Raw genomic sequence first — 25,987 nt, 5'->3', positions numbered from 1 at the left:
CTGTATAAATTGAAAAACGGTAGATACTAACTTTCCCAGCATCCCTTGCTGTCAGGACTCAGTCACATGGCCCAGGCTCCACCAGTCAGGTGCATCCACCTCCAACCTTCAGTTGGAAGCCTGTGGTGTCTTCACACCATAAGCAGGAGCAGCATAGAACCGGTTCTGGCAGTGAGGCTAGTGGACATCTGGTGGCTAGCATCTGTGACATCCATGCTGTTGCTGAGGGGGCTGGAGCAGCAGCAGCAGCAGCAGGGCTCTTCCCTCATCCAGCTGTGCAGCAGGATCTCAGGTTTTGTACCCGGCCAGGCAGCCCTTCATCTGATCCCCACTCCCCTGCGTAATCTGTGAACCTCCCCATGTCTTGTCTTCCCACCTGTGGCAGGCAGACCTGCCGCCCACCAAAATCTGTTCCCCTTCTTTCCTGCCTATGGAACTTTGCTTTTTGGAGGGCTACCAAGACCCTGGCAATGAAGCATGCTTGGCCATTGCTGTCATGACAACCTGGCTCTCTGCCGTCTCTGAATCCCTCATAGCATGCCCGATCATGGGTGGCCGTTGAGGCCTGGGGGGAATCCACTGCAGGGGCTTCTAGGGCAGGTTTGTCTTTCCCTCTAAAAGGGCACAGATGTGACTGGCCCTGTCTCTCCATCCTTTCTTTGTGCCTTGACTGTAGAGGTGTGTGTGGTATATGGAATTCCAGCAGCTGCCCTACAAACAACATACAAAAGCCCACCTGCCAAGGATGTTGGAGCAGAAAGACTGAAAGAGTCTGGGTCGCGATGGGGATAACTCCCACCTCCAGATTTCTAGTTACATGAAAAAGAAGAAAAGCCTCCACACATTGAACCGCCTGCAGTTGGGTATTCTGCTGCTTGCATCTGAATTTTTTCCTCACTAGCACCACGTTCTTACCTGGATACCCCGTGGGCCTGCCTCTGCGGATCAATGCGTGTATTTGCACGAAGCTCTATGGCAAACAGAGGTTCTCACTTCTCCTTTATTTATATATATATTTTTTGAGACGGAGTCTCGCTCTGTCACCCAGGCTGGAGTGCAGTGGCACGATCTCGGCTCACTGCAACCTCTGCCTCCCGGGTTCAGGTGATTCTCCTGCCTCAGCCTCCCAAGTAGCTGGGATTACAGGCACACGCCACCACGCCCGGCTAAGTTTTGTATTTTTAGTAGAGACGGGGTTTCACCATATTGACCAGGCTGGTCTCGAACTCCTGACCTCGTGATCCGCCCGCCTAGGCCTCCCAAAGCGTTGGGATTACAGGCGTGAGCCACCTACTGTAATCCCAGCTACTTGGGAGGCTGAAGCAGGATAACCGCTTGAACCCGGGACGCAGAGATTGCAGTGAGCTGAGATTGCCCCACTGCACTCCAGCCTGGGCAACAGTGAGTGAGACATCTCCAGGCCGCCATGCTGGGAAAGTGCAGAAGTCAGGCGCTCCAGGCGAGCTGGACCAGAGCTTTGTTCTGATTGGCTGAGGCCTGGATTGCCTGAACCAATCATGATGGAGGGGAGGCCGCACTGACCTGGTTGGCTGGCGGGCGTGGGGCAGCTCCAGGCCCACCATGCACATGGCTGATGTCCTGGTCCAGGCGCTGATGGAGGGAGGCACCCGACAAGCAGGTGGTTTTGTTCCAGGAAAACAGCAAGTGCAGTGGTTGAGTGTAGATGCAGAGCCAGCCTACCTGGATTGTGTCCTGGCTCTGCCACTTAATAGTTGTGCAATCTGAGTCGAGTTATACAACCTCCTTGTGCCTCAGTTTCTTAATCAGTGTGGTGGAAGGTTCCTACCTCATTGGCAGGTTGTTAACCTGTGTAAATAAGTCCTGTTACCACCACAGCCCCCACTTTCTGGTTCATAACAGAGACCAGAGAGTTGGCCTGCATGCCCTGAGTCAGCAAACATTTACTAAGTGCCGTGGTATATGCCAGGCGTGTGCGTGGGTCTGCAGACAGCCCCTCTGGTGAAGGGCAGCTCCCTGAAGCCTGGAGTACTGCCTGCTGCAGGGGATGGCCCTCCTTCCATGTTGGAGGAAATGCTTGTGTGGGCAGAAGTGCCCTGGAAGGTGAGCATGTGGCTTCTGATACATGGGAGGACCAACAATTTTCTGGGCAGAAGGAACACCAGGTGCAATGGATGAAGGGAGGACCAGACAGCTCGGGCCTGCAGCCCCCAGGGAATGGAGACATGCAGAGGAGGGTGTTTGGGCTCCATCTATCCCAGGGCTCTGGCCACAAATGCGGGGCTTCCCCTGCTGTCCTGGGTCAGAAAAGGAAAGCCACGCAACTCTGAGGTCTCCTCTCCCCTGTGTTTTACTTTTTTTTTTTTTTTTTTTTTTTTGACTGTCTCTCTCTGTCCCCAGGCTGGAGTGCAGTGGGGCAATCTCAGCTTACTGCAACCTCCGCCTCCCGACTTCAAGTGATTCTCTTCAAGCCTGGCTAATTTTTTGTATTTTTAGTAGAGGGGGTTTCACCATGTTGACCAGGATGGTCTCAATCTCTTGACCTCGTGATTCGCCCCCCTAGGCCTCCCAAAGTGTTGGGATTACAGGTGTGAACCACCGCGCCTGGCCCCTCCCCGCTTTTGTTTTCTTTTTTCTTTTTTTTTGAGACAGGGTCTTACTCTGTTGCCCAGGCTGGAGTGCAGTGGTGTGATCATAGCTCACTGCAGCCTGGAACTCCACCGTCCAAGTGATCCTCCTGCATCAAGCCTCTGGAATAGCTGAGACTACAGGCGCGCACCACCCTCAGTAACAGACGCTCAACCCTCGGTAACGAAGTGAAAAAAGGCGGTCTCGGGGATGAGCTCAGGTCCCACTGAAGCCACAGGTCGACAGAAGCCTTCTCAGAAGGCGAGAAGGAACCCAGGGAAGCGTCGCCCGCACTCAGAGTGGCTCAGTGGGGGAGGGGGAGCAACCCAGCGCGAGGACCTCAGCTCTCAGTGCAGCTGCTGTTGATCCTGAGTCTCTGATGTCTTCTCTGTCCCTGCCTGGAGATTCAAAGTCCTTACGGAAGCATCGGATCCATGCCTGGCTAATGTTTTATTTTTTTAATTTTCTGTAGAGACGGGGTTTCACTATGTTGTCCAGGTCGGCTCCATCCTCGGCCCCAAAGCGCTGGGATTACAGGCTGAGCCACCCCCTGGCATTTATAAGCAGCTCCTCTTAGGTGCCTGGCTACACCTGCTCCTGCTGCTGCTTTAGCAGTGCGTTGGCCCTCTACAGCTGTGTAACAAATTACTCCAAAACACAGGGGCTTACAGCAAGCATCTATCATCTCTCACAGCAGCTGAGGCGCTGGAAGCAACTCACCTGGGTGGTCTTCCACGAGGCTGCGTGCTGGGCTGGAAAATCCACTTCCAAGCTTGTTCCCCTGGCTGTTGGCAGGGAGTGAGCTCCTCCCCATGTAGAGGAAGGGAGACGAGAGAGGGAGGGAGAGAGGGAAGGGGGGAGGGGGAGAGGGAGGGGGGAGACAGAAAGAGAGAGAGGGAGAGGAGGAGGGGGTGAGAGAGGGAGGGGGAGGGGGGGAAGAGGGAGTGAGAGGGAGAGGGGAACAGAAAGAGGGAGAGAGGGAGAGAGTGGAGGTGGAGAGAGGGAGAGGGGGAAAGAGGGAGAGAGGGAGGGAGGGAGAGAGGCAGGGAAGGAGAGAGGGAGAGAGAGGGAGAGAGGGAGAGAGAGGGAGGGGGAGAGGGAGGGAGGGAGAGAGGGAGGGGGAGAGGGAGAGAGGGAGAGAGAGAGGGAGAGAGGCAGGGAGAGAGGGAGAGAGGCAGAGAGAGAGGGAGAGAGGCAGAGAGAGAGAGAGAAAGAGGGAGAGAGACACAGAGAGACAGAGAACCAGGACGGAAGCTGCTGTGTGCTGTGTCCCTCTAAACTGGCCTGCTGGCGCCTCTGCCCTGCTCTACTGATTACACAGACCCTCCCTTGGTGGGGCGTGGCCAACAGGAGGGCAGGGGTACAGGCCTGTGGGGCCATCTGGGAGGCTGCCCACCCTGGATGGCTGCTGCCCTGCTGTGTGTTCGGGGTGCACACGTGCTCCTGTCTGTGTTTGTTTTAGTACCTAGTCAGTGTTGTTATTGGGATGTCTCAAGTCCACTTGGAGCAGACTGAGGGTCACACCTAGAAAGTGGAATGTGGCTCCTCTGAATCCCTTCTTGGGAGGTCCCGAGCTCAGGTGGCCTCTGCCTGTCCGGAGTAGACAGAATTCTCGTGGAAACTGACTTCAGATTTCTTTTTGAACACACTCATATTTGCTGCGAATAACTCCCTTTTTTGTGATGCTCCCAGATCCTGCCTGTCCTGGCGATGTAGGCAAACGAATGAGCAGCATCCAAACTGTCCCCATGAGCCGAGGTCACAGCCTCGTCAGGCCCCAGGAAGGGCCAGTGCCCCCACCCCCACCTGGCCCCCAGCCCCCTCTAAGGCATGGAAGAGAGACCCAGGGGGCAAGGTCATGCGGTCCTGAAACAGGTCCCAGACAGATGGGCATCCCGGGCTTCAGGCAAATGGGTCACCTGTCAAGGACAGCACTAGTGACATCCCAGTACCAGGGAGTGGCCCCAAGCCAAACTGAGGAGTGTCTGGGAGCCGGGGACACACAGGCTTTCAGTGTGGGGGACTCATTACATCAGCTACTCGAGGGTCAGGAAATAATTTGTCACTCTCTGCCCCACATGGCCTCTGTGGAAATCAAACAAGCAGTGTTGCCTATTTTTAAGGATAAATTAATGCATCAATATAAAAAACGTCAGGCGGCGATGTGGAGGGGGTAGGCAGAGGGGGCTTGTGATTTATTGGCTCTTCAAGGAGTGTTTCTGGGGCCACTCTGGCTTCCTCCTGCCACCAGCAGGGTGCCCAGGGGCCCCTCCACCGAGGTCATGAGCCAAGCCACCCACCCCAACTGGGGGGCCCCTGACCAGGCTGAAGGGCCACACTCCCTCCAGCTGGTGACTCAGAAACATCCAGTATTAACTGCACTGGGACAGAGAGACAGGGAAGGAGCTAGGGGCAGGAAGGAACAGTCCTGGCCCTGGAACAGGTTGTGGGTCTGCCTGGGGCTGAGTGCTCCTGTGTCCTCACACTGAGGGGCTTCTCCTGGCCTGGCCACAGCGAGGCTAATGGGGTCCCCAGGGGGCCGTGGCTCCTGATTCCTTAGCATGAACAGGTGCCCCACAGGCTCAGATGGCCCCCCAGGGCTGTGCCCTCCCTCCCTGAGAGCACCTTGCCAGCATCCCCACCAACACCCAGGACCACCCTGGTCCACGTTTGCCAGTTTGGAAGGTGAGAAATGACATTTCCTGGCTGTGTGAATTTGCATTTCTTTGGTTTTTGGAGGGCGTGAGCTTCTTTCCATTTGTTTGGGGCCATTGTGAATGTCTGTTCAGTCTTTGCCTGTTTTCTATGGAAGGGTCCCCATTTTCCTTGCCGACGGATGCGGCACTCTGGCAGCTGGGAGTGGTGGCGTTCAGCGGTGCCCTTGTGTGCTTTAGCTGTGGTGCGTGCGGGAGAGGAGTGCTGATGCTAGCCTGGAATCTCACCAGGGATCTGCAGCCCCGGCTTTGTTGTCAGAAAATGCTGAGAGAGGCCTCCTGGGAGCCAGGCAGGATGCAGCAGGAAACAGAGGGGCAGAAAGAGCTCAGGTCCGCAGCAGCAGGGAAGGGGGCACCAGCTACCAGAACCCAAGCAAGAATTGGGCTTGAGGGGGCCGAGGAGCGGGGGAGGGGGACTGAACATTTAGACAGGGGTGTGGGGGCTGTCTGAGAAGACACGTGAGCAAAGATTTGTGGGAGAAGATGGAGGCGCCTAGAGCAAGAAGAAGAGCAGCCCTCAGAGGGATGGGCACGCAGAGGCCCTGGGGCCAGCACAGCCTGGGTGCATTCCGGGAGCTGCAGGGAGGCCAGGCCAGGGCCGTGGGGGGCTGGGGCAGGGGGTCAGGCTAGCTGGGGGCCTGTGGGTTCCAGGAATGCTTTAGCTTCTGCTGCCAGTGCTGGGCGGGTAGGCTGTCAGTTCTCCAGGTGCAGGGCAGACAGGTGGTATGAGGCCCAGTTTGCAGAGAGCATGGTGCGCCAAGCCTCGTGAACCACAGAGGTTTACATGCCGGTGAGAGCCCTGGGTCCGCAGGCCAGAGTTTGCTCCTCTGCAGAGCTCCTGGTCGGCCGGCCTCTGCCCTTCTCTCCAGGACTTGGGGGTTCTGCTCTACAGCCAGGCGGCCCTCGGGGAGCAAAGTTCCGGGCCAGTGAGAATCCAACATATCCCCAAGCCCCACAGCAACAAGGGTTGAGGGAGCAAAGGACGGTCGGGATGGTGGGAGGTGGCGGTGGCCTTGGTGGGTGGGTGGGGGTGCTGCTGACTTCAGTGCGCTCCGGTTACTCCGTTACCGCACAGGGGTGAAGTGCTGCCAGCCCCCATCCGTGTCCCTCTGCAAAGTGCTCCTGGCATCGAGCTGGGCTCTCCGGAGGCTCAGCCTCCATTTTCTCCTCTGGGCAAGGGGAGTCCTGGGCCAGCGCCCGCTGTCCAGCCTCGCTGCGCCCCGCAGCCCATTTCCTTTCCTGGAGGCTCTGACAGGCCTGGAGGGCCCGGGCGTCAGGGTCGGGTCAGTAGGCTGCCCGGGTCAGCTGAGGCCCGGTCAGTGCGAGGGGCTTTCTCGGAACCGAGGCCGCGGCTACCTGAGGCCTTTGTGCAGAGCCCCGCTCTGGCCACCCGGGGGGGCCGAGGCCAGGAGATCCGCAGGGCCCCCTAGGAGCGCCCTCCGCCCCCTTAGCGACCCCTCCCAGACCAAGGCAGGGCCAGAGGGGACGGTGCCCGAGGGCAGCGGCGCCGGAAACGGCAACAGGCACAACTCGGCCCCGGAACATCCCGGAGGCCCCGGGCGCCGGAAACGGCAACAGGCACAACTCGGCCCCGGAACATCCCGGAGGCCCCGGGGCCTTTAGAGCCCGCGAAGGGCTGTCTCCTCGGGCGCGGCGGGGCCGGGGCTCTCAGCCTCGCCGCCGACCTCGGGAAAAGCCCCCCAGCCTCTCCACCCGGCAGCTGGAGGAGGCTGGTCCGGGGCTGGGGACAGCGGGATCGACCCGCCTGGGGCTAGGCCGACGGCTGGGGATCGCGGACCGCGGGGGGCGCACGTGCGAGACCCTTTTCCCGGCCCGCAGGGAGGCAGGACGGAGCCCCAACTTCAGGCGCCGACGCCGCGTCCCGCCTGGAGGCCGCCGGGGAGGGCCGAGTGCGCACGCGCCTGACTCTGTCCCCACGGCGCGCCCGGGGGCGCCGGGGCCGCCCTGTGATTGGCCCGGGCGGCCGCGCTCTCGGCCAATGGATGCGCGGCTCCTGGCTCGGCGCGGGCCTCCGCGGCGAGGCATGGGGAGGGTCCGTCTCCCGCCGGGTCTCGGGGCCTGGGGAGGGATGCGCCGGCCCACGGGGTCGCTCCTTCAAGCTGCCCGCCTCCGCTCCGGAGACGAGGCCAGCGAGTCCGTGATCCCGGCCGCCCCCAGTAGTGAGCCCGTGCGCAGAAGCGCCGGCTGAGACGTGGAGCCGCGCCCCGCCTGGCCGGGGCCTGCCCTTCGCAGGGCCTCCCGGTGGACCCCCGGCCAGCCACGCTCTCCCTGCTCCCATCCTGCGGGTCAGAAAAACAATGCTTGGCTGGAGGGGGCCCGCGCCTGTGGTCCCAGCCACTTGGGAGGCCGAGGCGGGAGGATCGCTTGAGCTTGGGAGGTGGAGGCTACAGTGAGCCGTGATTGCACCGCTGCGCTCTAGCCTGGGCCACAGAGCGGAGACCCTGTCTCTAAACAAAACAACAGTGCTTAGAAAGCAGACAAGCCTGTTGCCAAATACCATCAACAAAAATGAGCAGTGGTCATCTCTAGGTGGTGGGGTTGGAGGTAAATAAAAAATATTTTGACTGGGCACAGTGGCTCACGGCTGTAATCCCAGCACCCCAGGCAGGAGTTCGAGACCATCCTGGCCAACACGGTGAAACCTCGTCTCTACTGAAATTACAAAAAAAAAAAAGAAAAAAAAAATTAGCCGGGTGGGCGTGCTGGTGCACGCCTGTAATCTCAGCTACTCGGGAGGCTGAAGCAGGAGAATCACTTGAGCCTGGGCAAGACAGAGGTTGCAGTGAGCCGAGATGGTGCCACTGCACTCCAGCCTGGGCGACAGAGTGACCCTGTCTCAAAAAAAGAAAAAAAAATTTTTTTTTAATCTGTAATTTGTTAATTATTTCAGTTAGCGTTAGTATATTGTTTGTACGAAAATACTGCTTTTGGGCCGGGGGCTGTGGCTCACGCCTGTAATCCCAGCACTTTAGGAGTCTGAAGTGAGCGGATCACGAGGTCAGGGGATTGAGACCATGCTGGCTAACACGGTGAAACCCCACCTCTACTAAAAATACAAAAAATTAGCCAGGCGTGGTTGCGGGTGCCTGTGATCCCAGTTACTTGGGAGGCTGAGGCAGGAGAATCGCTTTCACCTGGGAGGCGGAGATTGCAGTGAGCCGAGATCGTGCCACTGCACTCCAGCCTGGGTGACAGTGTGAGACTCCGTCTCAAAAAAAAAAATTGCTTTTTATAAAAATGAAAGCTGTATAACAAGAACAATAATAAAAACAGTAAGCGTTGGTGAGGATGTGGAGAAACTGGAGCTCTCATACAATGCATGCGCCGTGAAAAACACATTAGCGGTTCTCAAAGAGCGAAGGGTAGAATTACCCAGCAGTTCCGCGCAGCCACACACCCAGAGAACTAGGGGCAGGAACACGAACAGTGTGCTCAACACGAGTTATTCCAAATGTTGACCACAACGATACTCACCACAGAGAAAAGGTGGAAACAACCCACGTTTCCATCCATAAATGAATAGAGAAACAAATGTGGTCCCTCCATACAATGGACTATGATTTAACGTTAAAAAGGAAGGAAATTCTGACGCACACCACGCACAGATGGCCTGAAAACATTATGCTAAGTGACATGAGCCAGTCACAAAGGACAACGTCTGTCTGATTCCACTTATAAAACATCTAGAATAGGCAAGTACAGAAACAGAAAGTAGGTAAGAGGTTGCCAGGGGTTGGGGGGAGAGGGCAAGGCCAGGGGCTGGGGAGAGAGGGAAAAGGAAGTTGGTGCTTAATGGATAGTCTCTGGAATGACAAAAAAGTTCTGCAGACGGATAGTGTTGAGAGTCTCACAACATGGTAAATGTACTCAATGCCTTTGAAGTGTACACTTAAAAATGGTTAAAATGGCAAAATGTATCACAGTTTAAAAAATTATGGGCCAGGCATGGTGGCTCATGCCCACATAATCCCAGCACTTTGGGAGGCCGAAGCGGGCCGATCACTTGAGGTCAGGAGTTCGAAACCAGCCTGGCCAACATGGTGAAACCCTGTCTCTACTAAAAATATAAGAAAATTAGCCAGGTGTGATAGTGGGTGCCTGTAATCCCAGCTACTTGGGAGGCTGAGGCAGGAGAATCCCTTGAACTCGAGAGGTGGAGGTTGCAGTGAGCCAAGATCACACCACTGCACTCTAGCCTGGGCAACAGAGCAAGACTCAGCCTCAAAAAAGAAAAAAAAAATGTAACTTGCCCAAACTAGGCCGGGCGTGGTGGCTCACGCCTGTAATCCCAGCACTTTGGGAGGCCGAGGCGGGTGGATCATGAGGTCAGGAGATCGAGATCATCCTGGCCAACACGGTGAAACCCCATCTCTACTAAAAATACGAAAATTAGCTGGGCGTGGTGGCGGGCACCTGTAGTCCCATCTATTCGGGAGGCTGAGACAGGAGAATGGCGTGAACTCGGGAGGCGGAGCTTGCCGTGAGCAGAGTTTGCGCCACTGCACTCCAGCCTGAGTGACAGAGTGAGACTCTGTCTCAAAAAAAAAAAAAAAAAAATTTAGCCAGGTGTGGTGGCATGTGTCTGTAGTCCCAGCCACTTGGGAGGCTGAGGTGGGAGCGTGGCTTGAGCCAGGGAGGTTGAGTCTGCCATGAGCCATGGTGGTGCAAATGCACTCCAGCCTGGGCCACAGAGCAAGACCCTGCCTTGAAAAAAAAATTTTTTTAAAATTTATAGCTGTAATTTCGGAAGCAGTGTGTGCACTGATGCCTGCTCCAAGCATGCTCTTGGTCTGGATGCGGCAGGATTTCAGTTCCAGGAAGCAGCTATTCTCTGCGCTAGAAGGCCGCTTCTCCCCAACAGAAAGGGCAGCAATGCTTCACCAGGTGTGTGCCTAACAGTTCTCAATCCCACTGGGAGAGCTGCGAGGGAAGTATGGCTCATTCGGAATGGACACACACAGGCGGCTCCAGTACAGAGAGGGGCTCTAGGCCCTGAAATGCTGTGCTCCTCGCAGGACACACAACTCCACGTGACGGGGATAACACGCGACACAGCTCCTGCATCGATGCTCCCCAGTTCCTGCCTGGCTGCTCCCCCAGCTCCTGCCTAGGTTCTCCCCTATCTCCTGGCCTTATGCTCCCCAGTTCCTGCCTTTGTGCTCCCCCAGCACCCCCAACCCAGAGTGCTCCTTCCCTCTGGCCAGGCCCCCTTCCCAGCCCCGCCCCTTCGGGGCTCAGGCGGGAACCGAGCTGGCTTTTTCCTCCCAACCAGAGCAGCTCCCTCTGGTTCCCAGGTTGCCTGCCCTTCCAGCTGGGAACACCGGCCTTGCAGGGAGGGGCGGGGGTGCTCACCACGAGGCGGCCACACAGGGCGCGAAGGGGTCCCAAGGCCCACCCAGGAGGAGCGCCTGTCTTTCCGTGGCGGGCTGCGCGCGCTGCCCACGCGGCCACGCTTGGAGCCTGGCAGGAGGCCGCCATCCCGGCCACGGCCGCTGGAGGGCGCCCCCGCACCGCTCCTGCCTGCCGGTTCCCGCGGGAGGGCGCCTGTGGCGGGCGCCGGAGGTTGATCTGCTGGTTCACGCCAGGATTGCGAACCGGCGGCCGGAGCGGGAGGCCGCAGAGCCGAGTTCAGGTCGCAGTCCTGACCCACCTGGCGGCGACTTCCTGTCCCGCGGCTGTGCTGCAGCTCTCCAGGTTGGGGTGAAAATGCAGAAACGGTCCCGTGGGCTAAGTCACGGACGTTCGTTTCTCACAGCGCCGCGTGCCTGCCTGCAGGCAACCGAGCCACGCACGCCGAGGCCGCCCCACCGCCCGGGGCCTGAACGCGCCGGCCCAGACCGGCAGCCCCCTCGGATCCTAAGACCTCTGCACCGCAGCGCAGGTGTGGGGGTCCTCAGCCGGCGCCATCCAAGCAAGAGCCGAGAGCGCGAGCGCCACGCCTTCCCCCACCCTCTGCCCTGCGCCCCTGGCTGGCGGTCCCTCCTGCAGCGGCTGGCCTGGAATTCGGGCTGCGGAAGGGGCTGCACCCACGCGGGGCTCACGCCATGGATGTGGGCGCTGGGAGGGTCTCCGGCTGTTTCCTGGTGCTGCCCAAGAAGCAGGTCCCTCGGCCAAACCAGCCCCTGTTCTGGTGCCCGCCGGTGCCCTCAGCCTGCGGGCCTAGAGGCCAGAGTGCTGGCGGATGGGCAGGTCCTGACCACGCCGTCCTCCCTGGGAGCTTACTGGTGAGACGCTCGTCTGCCTCAGGGGGCCCAATAATGGTCACTTGACATAAAGGGACAGAGGTGGTCTGTCCAGGGTGACGGTGACCACTGTCCTGGCATGTGACGGAGCCCAGGCCCTGGGCAAGCGCCATGCTGAGAGGGGCTGGCCGCCCGCTGCCGGTGGCCTGACTCAAGAAACCTCGCTCCCCTGAGCGGCAGCTGGAGGAGAGGCAGCGGCAGTGGACCTCTGGGGACGGATTGGAGGGGTGGCCCTGCGGCCCTTGCTTGGGCAGGAGGGACGCTGCAGCAGCTGCTGGAGCTCCCAGGCAGGGGCTGTCCCTCGGTCAGCTGGGTCACAGAGCAGCCGGCGCCTGCGTCATTCTCAGCCTGCCCGAGGGGGAGGCTTCCGCTCCAGGTGGGTGACCCGGGGCCCTTGCTATTACCCCCACAATGTTTCCTCTTTCCTCTCTGCCTCCTCCAGCCTCCCTAGGCAGCCTCCTCTCTTTCTCTGCTGGAGCCTCCCAGCTTCCGGAGGCCTCCTTGTGAGAGCAATAAAATGTCTTTGAAAGGAGGCTGGGATGTCCAAAGGGTCATCACAGGGCTGGGGGCTGAGAAGCCCAGAGGTGGCTGGGTAGGAGACACAGGCCTTGGCGTGCTTTCAGGGGACACACAACAGGGACAGTCCCCACTGACTTTCCTCCCACTCCCCCTCCACTAACTCACCTCCCTCTTGTCAACACGGGGGGTCTCCTGCCCTGGAACATTCAGGGAAAGAGGTGCGTCTGAACCCCGCCTGGGGAGACAGACGCCCTCAGGCTGTCCTCTTGGCTCCGCTCCCCTCTTTCCTCCTGTTCACCGCTCCCAGCCACCCCGATGGGGCCTGTTTAATTGATTCAATTTGTTCAACAGTAAAAACACTCCACAGATGTCAGCCTCCCAGCACCCCACCCCTGGGGAGCCGCAGACACCTGCCAAGCCTCTGGGGCTGGGAGTCCTTCCATGGGCCACTAACACCAGGATCTGGGGGAGGCCTCTGGGCCTGGGAGCTCGCGTGGGTGCCCCCGCTCACCAGACCAGAGCAGCCACTTCAGCCCAGGGACTGCTCCGTGAATGGCACCAGTGGCGTTCTGAACAGTGATCTGATGCAAATATGTCCTTCTGAAGGATTTAATGTTTTTAGACTCCCAGGTCTGGGAGGATGACCTTGGAGATGAGGTCAAGCTACCATCCCAGGCTCAGGCCACTCACTGTCAGGGTCCCACCTTCTTCATCAACCTGGGCTCGGGGGGTTTTCCAGGTAATCAGTGCTGGGAGGGGGACTGAGGGCTCCCAGGGTCCTGATCCTGTCCCCTGCAGGGGAGAGGCCCCTCGCCTACAGATTGGGAGCCCTGCATCCACAGCTTCAGCGCGGTGGCCCGTCCTACTCCCAGGGATGTGTGTGGCCACAGCCACGCTGGGAGATGCTCTCAGGTGTTGTCTAAGGGAAGACGTGGGCCTGGAGGTCAGGAGACCCAGGCTGAACCCCTGACGCCCCTGCCCGGACCACAGCCCTCTCTCCCTGTGAAGGTCCCTGGTCCCTGGGGCCACCACTTTCCACCCCAGAGGGAGGCCCCTGCGATTGATTGGTTGGCTGAGTGACTGAAGCGGGGGACGGTTTAGGGGAGCATTTGCACAGCTGGCCAGGCTGTGACTGTGGGGGCCTCTGCCCACCCCCATCCAGCCCCACCTTGGACGAAGACGCCCCAGCCGTGATTAGGAGAAGGCTCACCCTGAAAACGGTCTCAGGTTAGAGTTACCAGGACATCTGCCTCTCCAGCTTGGGGGTCTCTCACGTGCCCCTCTCAGGCAAGATCGGGCCTATCATTGGCTTAGGTTTTAGGAAGGTCCCAAGCTCATTTGCCAAGGGCTGAGCTTCCCCATAACTCCCAGGACACAGGGAGAAGACAAGGGGAGGGAAACTGAGGGACGGAGATGAAAGCGCTCGTCCCAGCGAAGGACCCGCGCTTCAGGCGCTGGGCCCTGGCGGCAGTGAACAAGCTGGGGGTGGGGCGTCGGGCCGCGCCCCCGCCCTCCGGACCCCCAGCGCGGACCCCTGCTCCGGGGCGGGGGCGCTCACAGTCGCGCGAACCCGGAGGTGCGGAGAGAACAAAAGGGGTCCCGCCCCCTCCCCCGGGCCGGCCCGCCGCAGCCAATCGGCGCGGCCGCTATCGCCTCCGCTCTCTGATTGGCTGTGCGGCGGCCAATCGGGTGAGGGGGCCGCCAGCCCGTGCGGCCCCACGTGGGGCGGCGCGAGGGGCTGTTAGAGGACCGCAGCGGGCGGGGCGCGTGGTTCGATCGCGCGCTACGCGCCTCGGGGACGCGGTCCGCGCCACCCCCAGCCGTCCCTGCCGTCCCGAGGCCCCCAGCGAGCGGCGCCGTGGCTTCGGGCGCGCGGGGCTCGGGGCCATCGCCGGGTGCTGTGCGGTTCCCGGCTCGGAGGCGCTGGGCCGGCGTCGCGGCTGCCCCCTGCCCACGCGGGAGGGAAGCGAGCGGCGCTCAGGGACCAGGAGCGAAGGCCTTGCCACCTGGCGAGGCGGGGAGGCCAAGGTGGGCTGTGGAAGGAAGAGGCGGGCCTGCCGCTGGTGGTGGTGGGATCAATTCATTCATTCATTGAGTCCGTCATTGACACCTCCTACTCCAGGGCCCTCGGGACACAGACAGCGGTGGCCTCAGCGGAGGCTTGGGGGCTAGCCTCCCCCTAGTTTCCATTAGTCTCCCCTCCAAACTACTTCAAGTGGAACGTACAAGCATGTTTTTTGATATGGGCAATTGACACAGTCTTACATTTTTATGGCACCCTCAGACAGGGTATTTGAGGAGAATTGAATAAATGGAAAATACGTGAATTAAAGGAGAGCTGTGCAGTACCCAGGGCCAGCAACAAAGGGGAGCTGTTACCCCCTGAGACCTGGAGGGCAGCTGGAGCCACAGGAGAGGCCGTCTCCAGGAGCCCTGACCTTGGAGAGGGACACAGCGACCCGGCAGGGAGGAGCTGCTGCTGTACACTGACCTCACCCCTCCTGACCGCTTGGCTTGTCTACCGGCTACGCATTGGCTGAACTAGGTGGAGGCCAGGGAGCAACGAGGCCCCATGGATCCTGTACCTACAGTCAGCTTCCCGGGGCACAGAGCAGGGGCTGGCATGGGGCAATGGGAAGATGTCCAGCACCTGTTTTGAAGTGTGAATAAAAGCATCGTAGAAAATGTTGCTGTTTTGCTTTGTTTTGTGGATGTGTAGCCCATGCAGAGGCAGCCTAAGATGGGGCACGACCAGGCTGGGCCCCGCCTCTTGCAGATCCACTAGGAGCCACCCCAGAGCCAAGGGGACCTTCCTTGGAGGGTTTCCCATCCTGAAAGTGATGAGTCACAAAACGAGGCAGGACTGAGGACGAGGAATGCCCCGTGTCAGCGCACGTGCACGGTGTTGTTCAGGCCCTCTTCCTGGGGGTCCTCCTGGATGCTCCAATGCTTGCCCATCTTGGCAGCTGTCACAAGCCACTGCTGGGACTGTAATTCCCCAGGGCAGGGACTGATCCTGTTTGCTGTTGCCCCTTCATGGGGCCTGTATCTGGAAGGAGGATGAATCTGCCCGTGTGAGGCCTGAGATGGGGGCTTCCCTCTGAGGCAGGGGACATGTATTCACTCATCAAACCTTCTCAGGGGAGCCTTTGTCTGCCAGGTTGGGCTTAGCCCCAGGAGCCCAAGGAAGAAAGGATGTAGTTCAGACTTGGAGACATGTGTGACCCAACACTGCAGCCATGCACAAGTTCCTGATAAGGTGGCTCGGGCCCAGGTCCCCTGAGAGGCTCAGGAGGGGGAGGACTCTTGGATAATGAGGAGAGAGGGGGTGGCACTTGAGGTGGCTTTGAAGGGCAAGGAGGAGTAGGAGTGGTGGAGAAGCTGAAGAAAAGCAGGGGGCAAGGAGGTGCCACCATGGGGATCAGGGACGTGGCATCCGGGGGAGTGTGGCTGTGCACAGCTGGGCCTCTGCCGCAGGCATCAGGAGGCTGGGGCGAGGCACCCCTGTCCCTGGCTTCTCCGCCTGTGGTATGGCGATGATGATAGGGTTGTTGGGCAGGGTGAGGGGATGTAGGTGACGTGCAGCACACTGTCTTGGTAATTACAGGCTCGATAAATATACATGAGCTGTCATTATAAGCATTTGTTGCAGTTGAGGAGGTGGTGGTGGGCTTGGCTGGAGTGAGCTGCCTGTGGGGGGCTGTGAGGTTAGTGCGAGGATGGCCGTCTTTCAGGGACATGGAGGCTGCCTCTCGTTCCTGCAGCGCATGTGGCAGACATCACTAATCCATCAGCCACTCTCTCCCACGGAGCCCAGCGGTGGCCTCGGGCCCTCAGATCATTCTCCAGGCAGCCCCTGCTAATCAACCACAGCTGGCACACAGATGGCCCTGCCTGCCATCTCCAATTCCACCGACATCAAAAACTGGGATCCGGGCTGGGGGTGGTGGATCATGCCTGTAATCCCAACACTTTGGGAGGCCAAGGTGGGCGGACTGCTTGAGCCCAAGGAGGAAGAAGCTGCAGTAAGCCGTGACTGCGCCACTGCATTCCACCCTGGGGAATAGAGGGAGTCCGTCTCAAAAAATAAAATAAAAGGCCGGGCGCGGTGGCTCACGCCTGTAATCCCAGCACTTTGGGAGGCTGAGGCAGGTGGATCACGAGGTCAGGAGATCCAGACCATCCTGTCTAACACGGTGAAACCCCATCTCTATTAAAAATACAAAAGATTAGCCGGGCGTGGTGGCGGGTGCCTGTAGTCCCAGCTACTCGGGAGGCTGAGGCGGGAGAATGGCGTGAACCCGGAAGGCAGAGCTTGCAGTGAGCCGAGATCGTGCCACTGCACTCCAGCCTGGGCAACAGAGTGAGACTCTGTTTCCAAAAAAATAAAAAAATAAAAAAAAAGTGAAGTAGGTGCACCAATCTTTTTTTTTTTTGAGACAGAGTTTTGCTCTGTCGCCCAGGCTAGAGTGCAGTGGCACAATCTCGGCTCACTGCAAGCTCTGCCTCCCGGGTTCACCCTATTCTCCCGCCTCAGCCTCCCGAGTAGCTGGGACCACAGGCACCCGCCACCGCGCCCAGCTAATCTTTTTTTGTATTTTTAGTAGAGATGGGGTTTCACTGTGTTAGCCAGGATGGTCTGGATCTCCTGACCTCGTGATCTGCCTGCCTCGGCCTCCCAAAGTGCTGGGATTACAGGCGTGAGCCACCGCGCCTGGCCAGGTGCACCAATCTTAAGCTGCAGATCACTGGACTTTCACATTCGTGCACATCCGTGCAACCGCCAGCCCGGTCCAGAGAACTCCCAGCCCTTAGAGGCTCCCTCGTGCCCCCTCCCATGCAAGCCCAGGAGCGCTCTGCCACCCATCCCGGAGACTGCTCTGCCTGATCCTTAGTCCGCGCCAGCAGAGCTGTACAGCCGTCCTCTCCGAGGCTGGCGCCTTCACGCCACACAATGCTGCCCGTGCTCACTGCATTGCTGCGTCCTGCGTGTGTCTGTGGTTGTTCTCTTGCGTTGCTGTGTTGTAGTCCATTGTATGGATGTAACACTTTATCTACCAAGTCTCTTGTTGACAGACATTTAGATTATCTCCAAAGTCTGTGAATAGTGTTGCTACAAACATTCTAGTGTGTGTCTCCTTGTGCCCGACAGTGGGGGTTTCTGGTGGATGTTAGCAGACACTGCTAGCTCTGCAAGCCACTGTCCTGACCGCTGCTCCCACCCGCAGTGTGGGTGGGTTCTGATTGCCCCACATGGTGCCAGCACTGGGGACTGTCTGTCCTTTCCTATAGGCCAATCGGGGGGTGGGGGAGACACTCTACCTCTCCATCCTTCTGATGCCCCTGTGGATGGGAGACTTACTGGGGGGCCTGTGCCCCCACACAGCCACCAGCAAGCGCTGGGGCCGCTCCTGGAACACCAGCCTCAGTTCCTTCCTCATGTTTGAAACCCAAGTTCAGAAAATGAAACGTGGCTGGGTGTGGGTCACTGGAAGGCCCCGAGGCCTGCAGCCTCAATGCAAGGTCAGGAAGGGGGCAGAGAAGACAATGGGGTGGAAGAAAAGGGCTGGGAGGGGGACTCTGGGCATTGGGGGAGGGTAGAGAGAGGGACAGGAGTGGCTGGGGCCGGGGTAGCCGAGGAAGGGGTGGGGAGGGTGGTGGGTCACGGAGTCAGCACTCACCAGGACGAGGTTCACCTGCCCAGGGTTCACTGGGTACCTGCTTGAGCCCAGACCCCCAGCCGGGAGCTGAGGATATCATGTGAATACCAGGCAGGGGCCCTGCCCTCACATTAGTGACAGTCCTGGGGAGGCAGCAATCAAATAAACCCACAATAAATACATAATTACAGGCTGTGCTGAGCGCTCTGTGCTGTGAGAGGGGCTGGCTTGGCAGCAACATCAAGCTGAGAGTAGACCTCAACCTCAGAGACCACAGGGCCCTGGGAGTCTCAAAGGGGGGTCCCAGCAGAACGGCGGGGGGGAGAAGAAGTGGAGAGTGGGACCCTCAAAGGGGGGGTCCCAGCAGAACGAGAGCAGGGAGAAGTGGAGAGTGGATGTTGGGTGTGGGCCAGCAGGGCTGGTCACAGAGAAGAGCCAAAGAGACTGAGGGTAGACTGATGGGTAACCAACATAGACATCAGGATTAGATTCAGGCTTCACAGAAACAGCACAGAAGTCGTAGTGACTTAAGGAAGGGGGATGTTTCTTATTCTTTTACTTAAGGCCTCCAGGGCCACTCTGATGCCTCTAGGATCATCAGGAACCCTGGCTCCTCTAGCTTGTTGCTCTGCCATCCTTCACTGTGGCTTCTTTCTCATGATCCAAAATAGCTGCTTAGGATCCAGCCATCACACCTACATTCCAACTAGCAGGAAGGAAGAGCACAGCCTTATGTTTAAGGATACTTTCTGCTGCACGTGACATTGCTGTTCACCCTCGTTGCCCAGAACTCAGACACATGGCTGCATCTAGTTGCAAGGCACGCTGGGAAATGTAATTTTCACTCTTAATGGCCAGGTGCCCAGTTACGAGTTGGGGCTCTGTTACTGAGGAAAAAGCGGGGACAGGTACTGGGCAATATAGTTCCCCCCCACCCCCGGTAACTGGAAAGGAAGAGCTGATGCTGGAGAAGAGGCGCCAGCAGGCCCAGTGCTCAGCCACGTCTCCCATGAGCCATCCTGCTGCTGTCACCTTCCATGTCATTTTCATGGACAAGGAAATCAGGTCTCAGGAAGGCCAGTGGCCTGCCTGAGGGCCCACAGCAAGAGGCAGGCCAAGAGAAGCAGAACCGGCTAGGAACATTCCAGAACTTCCATCTATCTGGTGGGGAGAGGGCTCCAGACCATGAGGCCCCCACTGCTGTCTTCCCCGAGACACTCCTTCTTTCCGGGTCCCTGGATGAAAAAGGCTGTGACGTCACCACCTTAAGCAGCACACAGGTGTGGCCACAGACCCCTTCCCATCTTCCTGGAGCACAGCAGGCACAGCAGGGACCCACCACAGGGTGGCCACGCTCTGGATGGCCAGGTGTGCCCTCAACACTGGCAGCCCCCTGCCTCACGCAGAAGCCCAGGCCGAGGAGAGAAGAGGCTGGACCTGCCACTGCCCTCTATCCTGCCCTCAGCCCCATTTGGGCCCAAGGATAGCATCCTCCCCAGCACCAGAGTTGGGTGTGATCCTCCCACCTTGGCCTCCCAAAGTGTTGGGATTATGGGTATGAACCACTGCACCCGACCCAGAGCGTTTTCTATGCATGCACAAGGGCTGCATTCACTCACACACGTATGGAACAGGACGGAATGTGGGTTTTGTGCTGCTACTGGCCCTGCTCACCTCCCTGGCTGAGTGGCTGGGCCGTCATTCATACTGGATCAGTGAGGTAGACCCTGCTGATGGAGGAGTGTCCAGTCCAGTCTTTTGAGGAGGTCTTTGTGTTGGGTACTTGTGGGTACTCGGGGGGGAGGACTCCCGTCCCCCTTCGTCAGGCCTCAGTCGTTCCCACCTGCCACCACAGTGTTTGTGGGGCCCCGGGAACCCAGAGACACTCAGAGCACACACTGTCACCAGGGGCAGTGGATCCATCGCTACTCTGTGCAGGGCAGGGGCTGAGAGCACCAAGACCCTTAGGATTCTAACTGAAGGAATCAGCTCAAACGCCGTCAGCACAAAAGGAAGCTATGGCCGGAAAGGCCTGGGCGGCGTGGGCCTCTGGGCCTCTGGGCCTCTGAGCCTCCGAGGACCCAGCTGTCGTCAGGGTTCTGTCTGTCTTTCCACTTGTCTCTGTGTTTCTGTCCCTTGCTCTTTCTCCCTGTGTGTGTTGGCCTCTGCTTCTCCACTGCAAACACGTGTTTCCCTATTCTTCAAGGGGAATAGGGGAGGAGAATGGGGGCATGGCTCAGACAGGGCCAGGTCGGCTCGCTTCCAGTGTGGCTACCGAGTAGGAGTGCAGGGTCCTTCCTCATTCCAGGAAAGGGCTTGCTCCCCTGGGCCAGGGGACACGGCCGTGTGATCGTCCAGGCCCGGGGGTCGGGTAACAACTCTACTAGAACCACGTGGGTCAGGTGAGGGCAGTTCCAGCACGAAACAGGGGCATCTGTTACCAGGAGAAGGTGGCAGGAAGGCCTTGGGGCAGACACGGCAGCGGGGGCCACACTCGGCCCCCGTGGGAGCCACACATTTCCCCTGACCCACTCCCACGACTCCAGGGCACCGTGCAGCCATCTGATGATCAATAAAAACACTCCCTTTCCCCCCAGGAGATGAGCTGGGCGGCTCAGCTGTGCCTGCTGTCTGGGATGTCCACCTTCCTGAGTTCGGGTGAGGGTCTGCCGGGCGTCTGCAGCTGTGGAGTGGACGCTGGAACTACCCACTGCTAACCTACCTGACACCCAACAGCAGGGGAAGAAGAGGAAAGAAAATAAAATAGAAAGCACATAGCCCCAGGCAAGAAAGTCGAGGCGCCCTCCTTTTCCTCTGGGGGCCCCAAGCTGCCACTGGTATCGGCATTGCCTTCACTCCTGACCTTACCACCGCTGCCCTCGTCTCCAGCAAGAGCCTCGCACAGGTGGCTTCTTTCCCTGGTGGGATGACCGAACTTTTAAAAAAAATTTTTTTTTGAGATGGAGTCTCGCTCTGTCGCCCAGGCTGGAGTGCAGTGGCACGATCTTGGCTCATTGCAAGCTCCGTCTCCCGGGTTCACGCCATTCTCCTGCCTCAGCCTCCCGAGTAGCTGGGACTACAGGCGCCAGCCACCAGGCCCGGCTAATTTTTTTCTATTTTTTAGTAGAGATGGGGTTTCACCATGTCAGCCAGGATGGTCTCAATCTCCTGACCTCGTGATCCGCCCACCTTGGCCTCCCAAAGTGCTGGGATTACAGGCGGGAGCCACTGTGCCTGGTCCCAGTTTTATTCCTGGGGTGTCTGAGCCCCTGTGGCTCTTGCCCTCTTGGGGTTGCAGAGGTCTCCCGCCAGTGCATCAGCATGTCGTAGGTGTACGTTCTGAGGTCCCCAGCTCCACCCGTCTCCTTGCCCAACTGCAGGCCGGAATGGCAACCACACACCCTCTTTCTCCTACTCACCTTGTGGCCCATGGAACATGAAATGGCTCCAGATCCCTGGGCTGTAACGATGTCTCCCCGTGGGTGCTGCACGGCAGACCAGTGCAGCTCTGAGTCAGGACGGGAGGCAGAGCTTAAGGGCACTAGTGTGACAGTGAGAGGCTGAAACTCCTCCTCCAACTCCTGCCTCCTGAAGCCAGGACTGGAGCTTTTCCTGGCTTGTGGGGTGCCCTGCCTCAGACCAACCAGGTTGCATGGCTCCTGGGCTGCAGATGCCAGGGACAGAGGGTGAGATGGGGAATGGCTGTGACTTAGCTCCTGGCTGTGCTTGTGCCTGGAAATGAGTTCCTTGGTTGCAGGGGCAGGGTGGGGTTCCCTGAGCAGGTCTAGAGGTTCTCTAGGCCCATGGCATGACCTCATCCAGAGCAGAGCTTATTCCTGATGAGGACAAGTTGCTGCCCATGCCATAACGGAAGGGACCAAAGTCATCAATGTGCCCCACAGCACTGCCAGGTGCCCGTGAAGCATGGCACCCTGCTGGGATTTCAGGTCCGTTGTGGCTTCTACAATTGAGCCTTCCTCAGTGGGAATCCAGACCAGCCACAGGGAGGGCCGTTTCAAGAGGGAGTGCCTGTGCTTGACCTTCCTCTCTGCACACTGCGAGCCCGTGGGGTGAGCTGCAGATTGGCTGGGGGGGAGGGAGGTGATGGGCACCCCCGGGTGGGTCATGTGCCCACCTGACTCTGAAAAACTCTTCTGCAGTGGGGCTTCTGGTGGGCTCACACGGGCCTACACATGCTCAGCCTCCAGCCACAGCCCAAATGCCTGCTGACCCTCCTCTTCCTCGAACTCCTCCAACTCCTGTCCCCGACTGGTTTGCCCTGTGTTTTTTCCAAGTCCCTCACGTTTGGCCAGATGCCCAGGCACTGCCCAGGACTCTGTAGGCCTCGGCCTTGAACATGGAGACGTCCACTCAATGTGCTGCACTCTGGGAGGGTTGTCCTGCAAGGTGGGGCTGTGAGGGTGCAGCCATCCACTTGGGGCTGGGGCTGGCTCTGTAAAGGAGGCTGCTGCCTCCTCGGTCAACAGGTGATGAGGCTTCGCAGAGGCCATGGGTTTGAGGTGAGGGAGGGTCAGTGTAGCAGGAGTGGCCTCCAGCAGCTTCCTGAGCCTTAAGGGCCTGCATGGGCTCTTTCTGCCCCGTGATGGATGACTGGGTGCAGCTGCGTGCAGCCAGGTGGGCTGGGGAGACCCACTTTATGTTGGACAGCTGGCTTTCAAGGTCAACCGCCGTTGTGAAGGCGGGCTGCCAGATTTAATGAATAAAATACAAAGCTGGGTGCGGGGCTCATGCCTGTAATACCAGCACTCTGGGAGGCTGAATCCAGGGTTCGAGGCTAGCCTGGGCAAAATAGCGAGACCCTCCCCCGCCAAACTCTACAAAAAAATAAAATTAAAAAATTAGCTGGGCTTGGCACGTGCCTGTAATCCCAGCTACTTGGGAGGCTGAGGTGGGAGGATGGCTTGAGCCCAGGAGGTGGAGGCTGCAGTGAGCCAAGATCCCACCACTGCACCCCATCCTGGGCGACAGAGCGAAACCCTCTCTGTCTCTAAACAAATAAAACAGGACGTCAGGTTAATTTAAATTTCAGATAAAGAATGAATAATTTTTAGTATAAGCATACCCCTGATATTGCATGGAACATGCTTTTGTTACAAATTACTTGTTCTTCACCAGCAATGTGAATGACACCTCAGGCTCTACAACCCCATCCTGGACTCCGAAGTTCTGCCGCGGCGAGAGCCCAGCGCTGGGAGAAGAGAACGTGGCGGGTTAGCTGCAGGAGGCCGCAGGAAAAGCTGTGCGCTCATTGGGTCCCAGTGGTGAACTCTGATTGGCTCAGCTTATGTCACATGCCCGACCCAAAGCCAATCACGGTGGCAGAGGAAGCAGAGGTGTTGTGATTGGCCTGGCGTGGGTCATGTGACCGGAGAGTGGCATGGCTGTCCTCGGATCCACGTGCGTGCATGGCGTGTCTCTGCCCCAGAGGAGGCTCTTCCTGCAGCTTCTGGGGCCCTGGGACAGTGGCCTCGGACACCCTCTGAGGGCTTTGGCTTTTCGGAGCCCTGCGTGTCTGGGGGCAGCACTGTTTGCCTGCTGATCCTTCAGAATCCCCGGCTGCTCCACAGTGCTCACAGCCGAGAGCAGAGGCTGCCTGGGCTCTGGTTGCGCAGCAGTGGGCGCTCGTCCCCTTCCTGTCCGGGCCCCCCGACATCACCTCTGGCCTTCTGCACCCTCGCTGTAGATTGGCTTTCCAACTCCACCCCCCAAAAAGACGGGCCGTAGTGGGGGCTTCCAGGAGCACCAGGCCAGGGGTGCTTTGCCCAGGACCAGAGTGGGGACTAACCGGGCCAGTGGTGAAAAATATAATTAGCCTGTCAGTGTGGAGTCTTCCCTCACTGCTCTGCTCACCGCCGGCCCCTGAGCCAGCCTGTTTCTTGTAAGTGAAAACAGATTTCCTGACAAGGGGCAAGATCATAAACTTGTTCAAAGGCTCCCAAATAAAAAGGGCGGTTTTAACTTTTCCCTCTCAGCAAACCAAATTGTGAGTAGGCTTCTAGACCATTCCGTCACCGCAGGAAGGGTTTGAGAGCCTGAGGCTCCTGACTGCTGGGAACCTTAGGGGAGAGGGGCTCTGGGAGGCGTCTGGTTTAACCCACCCCACTGCCATCTGGAACACTTTTTCTCAGTGAAGTCCCAGCCCCTAGCCCCAGCCTCAGTGAGACCAGAGTTCCCACTGGCCTGCTAGCCAGTCTGCCCTGGGGCTGAGGGCCCAGGCCTAGAGGCTGTTCTCTGAGTCACTGTTTTCTGAGGTGACGCCAGTGGAAGACGAGTCCTACCTAGCAAGCCTCTAGTCCTTCCTTTCTCTGCAAGCTGCCTTAGCTCAACTTTTGTCTTCGGATTAAACTAGTTAAAGGAAGCAACTGTGGATGCCCCCCAGAAGTGCATTCTACTAGGGGCTGAGCTTCCTGGAAGGGCAGCAGGACTGCTCCTCTCCCTGGGGGCCTGGAGCCAGCTTCTTTGGCTTGCAGCTGCTCTGTACTGAGGAAGGGCCCTGTCCTGTACCCTTCGTGTGGCTTCTCGGAGTTCCTGGTGTGCTGGGTGCCAGGGCTTCTGTGTGCTGGCCTTCTTCCCTACTGGGCTCTGAGTTTCTTGGGGGTGTGGGCTTTGTGTAATCTTCTCAACACTGCATCCTGGTGCCTGGCACACAGTAGGTCTTGAGTTTGTATTAATACTTGTTGAAGTGACGGACAGATGGATGGGCAGATGGACACAGGAATGGTTGTCAGAGAAGGAAACAAGAAGTGGCCTTGCCAAGAACAGATCACGTCATCAGGGGTTGAGAACCAGCATGCACTGTCCCCTGCTTTGATGGGACAGGGACATCACAGGCCTATTCTGGCAGGATGACAGATTCTAGGATATCTGGGATAGGCTGGAGGTGTTGAGTTTCCCCACCAGCCCTGGGTATCGTGAGGGACCCTGCTGTCCTCTCTGTCCAGGGAGACAGGACTGGAGATTTTCCCTGAACAGTAGGTGTTGGCCCAGGAAGCCTAGGGTGCTGTGTCAATCCCCTGCCTTTCCTTTCTGTAAATGGGTGCAGTCAGTCTCGGGAACCTCCAAAAAACAGACAGGAAACGCCCATCAGAGTGGGCCCCGCTACTCTAAAGCACAGGATAGAGCCTGCCTGAGAACTCAGTCTCAGCAAAGGAAAGGAGCAAAAGACACCAGAGGGATGTGGAATGTAAGAAAACAGATGCTTTTCCCAGTTCCGCAGCGACATCAGGCCCGAGACCATGTGGCATACTCATGGCAAACCCTGCTCTGGGCTCCGAGTGGCGGCTGTCCATGTCTGGTCTTTTTTTTTTTTCTGAGACAGAGTTTCGCTCTTACTGCCCAGGCTGGAGTGCAATGGCGAGATCTCAGCTCACTGCAAACTCTGCCTCCCGGGTTCAGGCGATTCTCCTGCCTCAGCCTCCCAAGTAGCTGGGATTACAGGCATGCACCACCACGCCTGGCTAATTTTGTATTTTAAGTAGAGACGGGGTTTCACCATGTTAGCCAGGATGGTCTCGATCTGACCTTGTGATCCACCCGCCTCGGCCTCCCATGCTGGGATAACAGGCCTGAGCCACCGTGCCCAGCCTTAGTGTCTGCTCTTGGTCTGCTGCTTCTTCCTGCTTTGGGAGGCCTTTGCTCAGGCCCTCAGGAGTCCAGGGGGCTGAATGGAAGCGGAAGTGTGTCTGGCCTTCGGAAGTGATGTAAGTGGCCCAAAAGCGTTGACTGCGGACCTGATCTCTGTGACGAGACACTGACAGAGCGGAGGCTTGGAGGCCAGCCCTGCTCCTCTTTCTGCCTGAACTGGGCCTCTCAAGCCTCCCTTGGGTGTGGGTGGGGACACAAGGCCTGGGGCTTGAGGTTGTAGGCCAAGGGAAAGGGGCTGAGACCCCCATGCTGACTGGGCTCTGCCTGTGCATCCATCCAGAAATCCCTTGGGCCACCTGTGAGCCTCATCCTGGTCTTATAGGTGGGGAAAGAGACTCAAGGTCTGTATTTCACAGACACGGACACTGAGGTCCGAGCCACTGCAAAGTCAGGCTGCACCTGCAGGCCTGGCCCCGGGGCCGCACCTCTACCCCACTGACCCGTTGCCCGGCCCAGCTCCCCACCTGAGGCAGGGGCAGGCCTGGTCCCCCTGGCAGCTGTGCTGTGGTCCCAGGTGGGCACTGAGTGGTGGTTGGGCCTTGAACAACCCACCCGCCCG

The 25,987-nt window shown here is 58.5% G+C and overlaps 1 long non-coding RNA gene across 1 annotated transcript, besides 9 other annotated features; it reads left to right on the top strand.

The window, feature by feature from the left end:
- Window positions 1,441–1,942: an enhancer, noted in NCBI's record as "H3K4me1 hESC enhancer chr17:79460397-79460898 (GRCh37/hg19 assembly coordinates)". NCBI's record gives its function as "activates a minimal SCP1, AML or CMV promoter by ChIP-STARR-seq in naive H9 embryonic stem cells {active_cell/tissue: H9 hESC(naive)}" and the evidence as "EXISTENCE:reporter gene assay evidence [ECO:0000049][PMID:30033119]".
- Window positions 4,631–5,350: an enhancer, noted in NCBI's record as "H3K4me1 hESC enhancer chr17:79456989-79457708 (GRCh37/hg19 assembly coordinates)". NCBI's record gives its function as "activates a minimal SCP1, AML or CMV promoter by ChIP-STARR-seq in naive H9 embryonic stem cells {active_cell/tissue: H9 hESC(naive)}" and the evidence as "EXISTENCE:reporter gene assay evidence [ECO:0000049][PMID:30033119]".
- Window positions 6,072–6,792: an enhancer, noted in NCBI's record as "H3K27ac-H3K4me1 hESC enhancer chr17:79455547-79456267 (GRCh37/hg19 assembly coordinates)". NCBI's record gives its function as "activates a minimal SCP1, AML or CMV promoter by ChIP-STARR-seq in naive H9 embryonic stem cells {active_cell/tissue: H9 hESC(naive)}" and the evidence as "EXISTENCE:reporter gene assay evidence [ECO:0000049][PMID:30033119]".
- Window positions 7,115–7,394: a silencer, noted in NCBI's record as "silent region_9127". NCBI's record gives its function as "represses an Ori minimal core promoter by ATAC-STARR-seq in GM12878 lymphoblastoid cells {active_cell/tissue: GM12878}" and the evidence as "EXISTENCE:reporter gene assay evidence [ECO:0000049][PMID:35858748]".
- Window positions 10,333–11,130: a transcriptional cis regulatory region, noted in NCBI's record as "candidate enhancer chr17.6006 targeted for multiplex CRISPR interference". NCBI's record gives its function as "positively regulates RAC3 gene expression in K562 cells {active_cell/tissue: K562}" and the evidence as "EXISTENCE:mutant phenotype evidence [ECO:0000015][PMID:30612741]".
- Window positions 10,333–11,684: a biological region, named in NCBI's record as "CRISPRi-validated cis-regulatory element chr17.6006". NCBI's record gives its function as "regulatory_interactions: RAC3".
- Window positions 10,566–10,975: a silencer, noted in NCBI's record as "silent region_9126". NCBI's record gives its function as "represses an Ori minimal core promoter by ATAC-STARR-seq in GM12878 lymphoblastoid cells {active_cell/tissue: GM12878}" and the evidence as "EXISTENCE:reporter gene assay evidence [ECO:0000049][PMID:35858748]".
- Window positions 11,034–11,684: an enhancer, noted in NCBI's record as "H3K27ac-H3K4me1 hESC enhancer chr17:79450655-79451305 (GRCh37/hg19 assembly coordinates)". NCBI's record gives its function as "activates a minimal SCP1, AML or CMV promoter by ChIP-STARR-seq in naive H9 embryonic stem cells {active_cell/tissue: H9 hESC(naive)}" and the evidence as "EXISTENCE:reporter gene assay evidence [ECO:0000049][PMID:30033119]".
- LINC01971 (long intergenic non-protein coding RNA 1971) lies at window positions 13,847–14,788 on the top strand. The gene is made up of 2 exons (NR_184097.1): window positions 13,847–14,131; window positions 14,388–14,788. It is a non-coding gene; the product is annotated as a long intergenic non-protein coding RNA 1971 (long non-coding RNA).
- Window positions 23,361–23,862: an enhancer, noted in NCBI's record as "H3K4me1 hESC enhancer chr17:79438477-79438978 (GRCh37/hg19 assembly coordinates)". NCBI's record gives its function as "activates a minimal SCP1, AML or CMV promoter by ChIP-STARR-seq in naive H9 embryonic stem cells {active_cell/tissue: H9 hESC(naive)}" and the evidence as "EXISTENCE:reporter gene assay evidence [ECO:0000049][PMID:30033119]".

This window comes from Homo sapiens, chromosome 17 (genome assembly GCF_000001405.40).
Source record: "Homo sapiens chromosome 17, GRCh38.p14 Primary Assembly".
NCBI classification, from domain to species: domain Eukaryota; kingdom Metazoa; phylum Chordata; class Mammalia; order Primates; family Hominidae; genus Homo; species Homo sapiens.
The sequence above is the reverse complement of the archived record's forward strand: the minus strand, read 5'-3'. Positions and strand labels throughout refer to the sequence as shown.